The 6,893-nt window shown below is 52.9% G+C and overlaps 1 protein-coding gene across 32 annotated transcripts in view; it reads left to right on the forward strand.

Moving 5' to 3' along the window:
* PPFIA1 (PPFI scaffold protein A1) overlaps positions 1 to 6,893 on the forward strand; it is a 113,707-nt gene that overhangs the window by 19,298 nt on the left and 87,516 nt on the right. The window lies entirely within an intron of this gene.

The raw sequence follows: 6,893 nt of genomic DNA on the forward strand, positions 1-6,893 counted from the left end.
GGAGGCTGAGGCAGGTGCATCACTTGAGCCCAGGTGTTCAAGAGCAGCCTGGGCAACATGGTGAAACCCCATCTCTACAAAAAATAAAAAAAATTAGCCAGGCTTGGTGGTGCACATCTGTAGTCCCAGCTACTCAGGAGGCTGAGGCACGAGAATCGCTTGGGCCTGAGAGATGGAGGTTGCAGTGATCCAAGATCATACCACTGCACTCCAGCCTGGGTGATAGAGCAAAACCTTGTGTAAAAAAAAAAAGTTTATTATTTTTCAAACACACAAAACATTTACATGGTTCAAAAGACCAGAACTTTGTAAAAATGTAAACTCAGAAGTCTTGCACCTAGCCCTGTCGCACCCACCTCCGATAGGTGGGGTGAGGACGTGTCTGGTTTGCATGGAATAGTCCCGGTTTTTGCCTGTTATCCTGGAGCAATTAGTGACAGTGCCTTCTTTCACTCTCAGAAATGAAGCATAGCTAAGGCTTTGTTGGCGCCTGCTAATGCTAATTTAGAGATGTGGACAAAATGTTTCCACTTTGTGGATTTTTTTCCCCTGTAGCTAAAAGTAAGGGCTTGGCTGAATCCTGTAGACTTGGATTGAGGTTCTCTTGGCAGGGGAGGTCCAACCATGGAGTTCATACTCTTTTCACAGAGTCTCATTCTTATTCGGAGGAGGAAATTTCATTTTACTCTGAAAATTTGGGAGCTTGAAGCATATTGTACATTTCCAAGTTTTTCTGCTTTGCAAAGGGCCAATTATTCCTCCTGCCTATGTAGTTTTAAACCTTTGCCAGTACTAATATAAAAATTGATTTCAAGTAGTGACATGCTGAAGTTGTTGAATCATATAGAAAAGTTAAAGTTCTACTTGAGATGAATCAGTGTTTCTGAGCGATTGATCTCTTGAAATCTCTTTTTTTTGAGACAGTTTCACTCTTGTTGCCCAGGCTGGAATGTAGTGGCACAATCTTGGCTTACTGCAACCTCTGCCTACCAGGTTCAAATGGCTCTCCTGCTTCAGCCTCCCGAGTAGCTGGGATTACAGGCATATGCCACCACGCCTGGCTAATTTTGTATTTTTAGTAGAGACGGGGTTTCTCCTTGTTGGTCAGCCTGGTCTTGAACTCCCGACCTCAGGTTATCCACCAGCTCCCGGCCTCCCAAAGTGCTGGGATTACAGGCGTGAGCCACCACGCCCAGCCGATCTCTTGAAATCTTAAGGTGCTGTGAGGAAGCTAGTGCAGTCTCTTCCACCTTAAAAATAATTTGTGGGGGAAACATGAATGACAGCCGAGGTCATGGTATCCTACATACCCTTAAAGAGAGATGTGGCAGGATGAGATGATTTCGAATAGCCTGAGTATTAATTTGAATAGTGTGACGTGGTATTTCTTTTCATACAAATTAAAATCTAAAGAACTTCACTTGTGATTAAGTGTGAGATCCCATTGATGCAGAAAGGCTTAAAGAAATTCCAAGTAAAATTTTACTTAGCAGCCCTGTGGCTCAGCTCATTTTCCTCCACCATAGATGCTGAGGCGTTCACACTGGAGGGCGATCTCAGCAGACAGGCATTGTGCTCTTTGTGTTACCTGAAGGCACTTTACAAACAGGAATTCAGTGCATTGCCCTTCCTCTGTTTCTTTTTGTGATTGATGGAGATCTGCTGACTTAAATGAATAGTTTACTTATTTATTTATTTTTGAGACAGGGTCTCACTCTGTCATCCAGTCTGGAGTGCGGTGGCATGGTCACAGCTCACCACAGCCTCCACCTCTCTGGGCTCAGGTGATCCTCCCACCTCAGCCTCCCCAGTAGCTGGAACCACAGGCATGTGTCACCACGCCTGGCTAATTTTTTTTTTTTTTTTTTTTGAGACAGTCTTGCTCTGTCGCCCAGGCTGGAGTGTAGTGGTGCGATCTCGGCTCACGGCAACCTCCGCCTCCCATGTTCAAGCGATTCTCCTGCCTCAGCCTCCCGAGTAGCTGGGACTACAGGTGCGTGCCACCACACCTGGCTAATTTTTTGTATTTTTAGTAGAGACGGGGTTTCACCATGTTAGCCAGGATGGTCTGGATCTCCTGACCTTGTGATCCACCCACCTCTGCCTCCCAAAGTGCTAGGATTACAGGCGTGAGCCACCGCGCTTGGCCAGTCGCCTGGCTAATTTTTGTATTTTTTTGTAGAGACAGGGTTTCCCATGTTTCCCAGGCTGTTCTTGAACTCCTGGGCTCAAGTGACCCCCCTGCCTAGGCCTCCCAAAGTGCTGGAATCACACATGTGAGCCACCACACTCGGCCAGTGAATAGTTTAGAAGCAGGCCATGTGCGTCCTTTCTGCCTGCCTCTGTAGGTAGATTCCACTCCGCCTCCCCTGTGTGGATTCCCACATTGGAGCGCGGGCTGGGTGGGTGGCAAGGAGAGCAGTAGGTTTGTGTGGAGCATGGGCTTGGAGCCAGCTGGACTCGCATGTCCCCTTTCCCTTGTTACCTTTGTCACGTTCCCTCATCACTGAGCCTTCTGTTTCCTCACAGTAAATTAGAGATAATAATCATTTGGGTATTTTTTAGCAAATTCGTATTGTCTACTGTGTGTAAGGTACCGTCCAGGGGCTGGGTATATGGATGTTTGGGAGATAGAATGAGATCATAGTGAATGTTTATTGCCTCTAAGCCTCTTTATAGGAATGAGCCCCCACTGAAGCCTCGTGACAGTGCTATAAAGCAGGACACTGTTATGACCCCATTTTCTAGATGAAGAAATTGGAAACTCACTCAGGATCCCATAGATATTACATGGTAGAGGCTGTATTTGAATCCAAGCAGTCTGACTCCAGAGTTCTTCAACTGCATGAAAAAGTGGGCACAACAGTATCCTTCAGACCCCTCTGCCCCCTTATAGTATTACTGGAGTGCACACACTTATGGTTCTTTAACGGAGGGACTTGTCTCTCAGTTAGATCCCCTTCCACTCCTTGCACCTACTCCACCTTTGAGCATCCGGGGCAGCTGCTTGGGCTTCCCCTGCCTGGGATGGGAGCCTAGTCTGAGCAAGGTGCCTGCCCATGTGGCCTGCTGCCTGGTGCTATTCTGTCCCCAGTGTTGAGCGTAGCCTCTGGCACACAGTAGACACACACACAGTGATGCATCCTAGAATGATGAAATAATTTCCTAAACGGGATCTTTTAACGGTTACCTACCTGTTCTTCAGTGGCTCATCTAATTCTGTTCCTAGCTCTTCCACGTGGTTAATCCAAGGCATTCAAAGTTTCAGTTTTTTTCCCCTTCTTCATTGCTTTTTCCAGAAACTTTTTCACAGTGCAGAACAAGGGGATTTAAGTGTGCTATATGTTGGCTTCATAGCAAGTGTGTGACACTATTGTTTGGTTTCCCATCAATCAACTCTTGGCCCATCATAACGTTAAAATTTGCTAACCTGCAATTTCGTTGGTATTTTGATGATTACTTGAAACAAATCACTGGAACAATAGAGAAGCAAATAAAACCAATGGCTTTGAAACATAATAGAGTCGCGGTGGCAAGGCCAGTCCCCTACCCCACTGCCTTTGGCACGTGGTAGCTGCTGATTAGCAAAGTGTGAGAGCAGGTGGCTCAGGAGCCAGTGGCGTCTTCTGGTCTGCCATCACTTAATCTGCTGGAGCCTTGTGTTACTTCTCCACATATATAAACTGGGTGGACTGGGCCCTGTAGTTTAAAGCTTTCTGGAAGAAGCCAGTCTCCGAAGGGTCTTTTTCCATAGGTAAAACCATGCAGAGTGGCTCAGGGCAAAGTCAGCTGCCCTGGGGAGCCATTTGCTGAGACCCTCAGCCTCTGCTTTACCCTGCCCTCGAAGGGGTCCTAGGAAGACAGTTGGAAAGCCCTAGGACTAGCGATTGGATCCCTTTCAGCTCTCTGATTCTTTAAATACTCTGTAGTTCCTGCACAGTTCTCTCTCTCTCTCTTTTTTTTTTTTTTTTTGACAGGGTCTTCCTGTGTCGCCCAGGCTGGAGTGCAGTGAGATCAAGGCTCACTGCAGCCTCGACTTCCTGGGCTCGAGCAATCCTCCCATCTCAGCCTCTCGAGTAGCTGGGACCATTGGTGTGCAGTGCACCACCATGCCCAGCTGAGTTTTGTATTTTTTGTAGACACAGGGTTTCGCCATGTTTCCCAGGCTGGTCTCAAACTCTTGGCCTCAAGTGATCCTTCTACCTCGGCCTCCCAAAGTGCTGGGATGACAGGTGCGAGCCACTGCACCTGGCCTGCACAGTTCTTTTGTTGCAAATTGTAGAGAAAGGTAAACTTTGATTCCAGTATTCACCTGCAGAAGACCTGAGTGAACGTTTGGAGATGGCGAGGTGATGGAAGTTGGCGAGGGTCAAAGGAGAGGAACACTGGGAAGGAAATCCAGTGTTTCTGCTGAAGGGATATGCCCACGTCCTTTAGACATGGGACAGAAAGCAGGATTTTGGTGTCTTTGAATGGGGGATGTAAATCCTACCTTGAGTGTAACGAGGCTTTGTGACAAAGGCAAAAAGTCAAAAGGGAAATGGTGAGAATTTTCTTTCTTTTTTTTTTTTTAATTTTTATTTTTATTGATCATTCTTGGGTGTTTCTCACAGAGAGGGATTTGGCAGGGTCATAGGACAATAGTGGAAGGAAGGTCAGCAGATAAACAAGTGAACAAAGGTCTCTGGTTTTCCTAGGCAGAGGTCCCTGTGGCCTTCCGCAGTGTTTGTGTCCCTGGGTACTTGAGATTAGGGAGTGGTGATGACTCTTAACGAGCATGCTGCCTTCAAGCATCTGTTTAACAAAGCACATCTTGCACTGCCCTTAATCCATTTAACCCTGAGTGGACACAGCACATGTTTCAGAGAGCACAGGGTTGGGGGGTAAGGTCACAGATCAACAGGATCCCAAGGCAGAAGAATTTTTCTTAGTACAGAACAAAATGACAAGTCTCCCATGTCTACTTCTTTCCACACAGACATGGCAACCATCCGATTTCTCAATCTTTTCCCCGCCTTTCCCCGCTTTCTATTCCACAAAACCGCCATTGTCATCCTGGCCCGTTCTCAATGAGCTGTTGGGTACACCTCCCAGACGGGGTGGTGGCCGGGCAGAGGGGCTCCTTACTTCCCAGTAGGGGCGGCCGGGCAGAGGCGCTCCTCACCTCCTGGGTGGGGCGGCTGGCCGGGCGGGGGGCTGACCCCCCCACCTCCCTCCCGGACGGGGTGGCTGGCCGGGCGAGGGGCTGACCCCCCCACCTCCCTCCCGGACGGGGTGGCTGGCCGGGCGAGGGGCTGACCCCCCCACCTCCCTCCCGGATGGGGCGGCTGGCTGGGCGGGGGGCTGACCCCCCCCACCTCCCTCCCGGATGGGGCGGCTGGCCGGGCGGGGGGCTGACCCCCCCATCTCCCTCCCGGATGAGGTGGCTGGCCGGGCACAGGGGCTCCTCACTTCCCAGTAGGGGCAGCCGGGCAGAGGCGCCCCTCACCTCCTGGACGGGGCGGCTGGCCGGGTGGGGGGGCTGACCCCCCCCACCTCCCTCCCGGACGGGGCGGCTGGCCGGGCGGGGGGCTGACCCCCCCACCTCCCTCCCGGATGGAGCGGCTGGCTGGGCAGAGGGGCTCCTCACTTCCCAGTAGGGGCGGCCGGGCAGAGGTGCCCCTCACCTCCCGGACGGGGCGGCTGGCCGGGCCGGGGGCTGACCCCCCCCACCTCCCTCCCGGACGGGGCGGCTGGCCGGGCAGGGGGCTGACCCCCCCACCTCCCTCCCAGACGGGACGGCTGGCCTGGCGGGCTGACCCCCACCTCCCTCCTGGACGGGGCGGCTGCTGGGCGGAGACGCTCCTCACTTCCCAGACGGGGTGGCTGCTGGGCGGAGGGGCTCCTCACTTCTCAGACGGGGCGGCTGCCGGGCGGAGGGTCTCCTCACTTCTCAGACGGGGCGGTTGCCAGGCGGAGGGTCTCCTCCCTTCTCAGATGGGGCGGCTGGGCAGAGACGCTCCTCACCTCCCAGACGGGGTCGCGACCGGGCAGAGGCGCTCCTCACATCCCAGACGGGGCGTCGGGGCAAAGGCACTCCCCACATCTCAGACGATGGGCGGCTGGGCAGAGACGCTCCTCACTTCCTAGATGGGATGGCAGCCGGGAAGAGGTGCTCCTCACTTCCTAGATGGGATGGCGGCCAGGCAGAGACGCTCCTCACTTTCCAGACTCGGCAGCCAGGCAGAGGGGCTCCTAACATCCCAGACGATGGGCGGCCAGGCAGAGACGCTCCTCACTTCCTAGACGGGGTGGCGGCCGGGCAGAGGCTGCACTCTGGGCACTTTGGGAGGCCAAGGCAGGCAGCTGGGAGGTGGAGGTTGTAGCGAGCCGAGATCACGCCACTGCACTCCAGCCTGGGCACCATTGAGCACTGAGTGAACCAGACACTGTCTGCAATCCCAGCACCTCTGGAGGCCGAGGCTGGCGGACCACTCGCGGTTAGGAGCTGGAGGCCAGCCCGGCCAACACAGCGAAACCCCGTCTCCACCAAAAAAATACGAAAACCAGTCAGGCGTGGCGGTGCGCGCCTGCAATCGCAGGCACTCGGCAGGCTGAGGCAGGAGAATCAGGCAGGGAGGTTGCAGTGAGCCGAGATGGCAGCAGTACAGTCCAGCTTCGGCTCAGCATCAGAGGGAGACCGTGGAAAGAGAGGGAGAGGGAGACCGTGGGGAGCGGGAGACCATGGGGAGAGGGAGAGGAGGGAGAGGGAGAGGGAGAGAGGGAGGGAGGGAGGGGGAGGGAGGGAGAGGGAGAGGAGAATTTTCTTTATCACATTTGTTTCTTTGCTTATGGAGAGGATTGCTTGTTAATGTGGTGTGATATTGAGGTTGTGTGTAAGAGCATGGCCTCTG

This window comes from Homo sapiens, chromosome 11 (genome assembly GCF_000001405.40).
Source record: "Homo sapiens chromosome 11, GRCh38.p14 Primary Assembly".
NCBI lineage: Eukaryota > Metazoa > Chordata > Mammalia > Primates > Hominidae > Homo > Homo sapiens.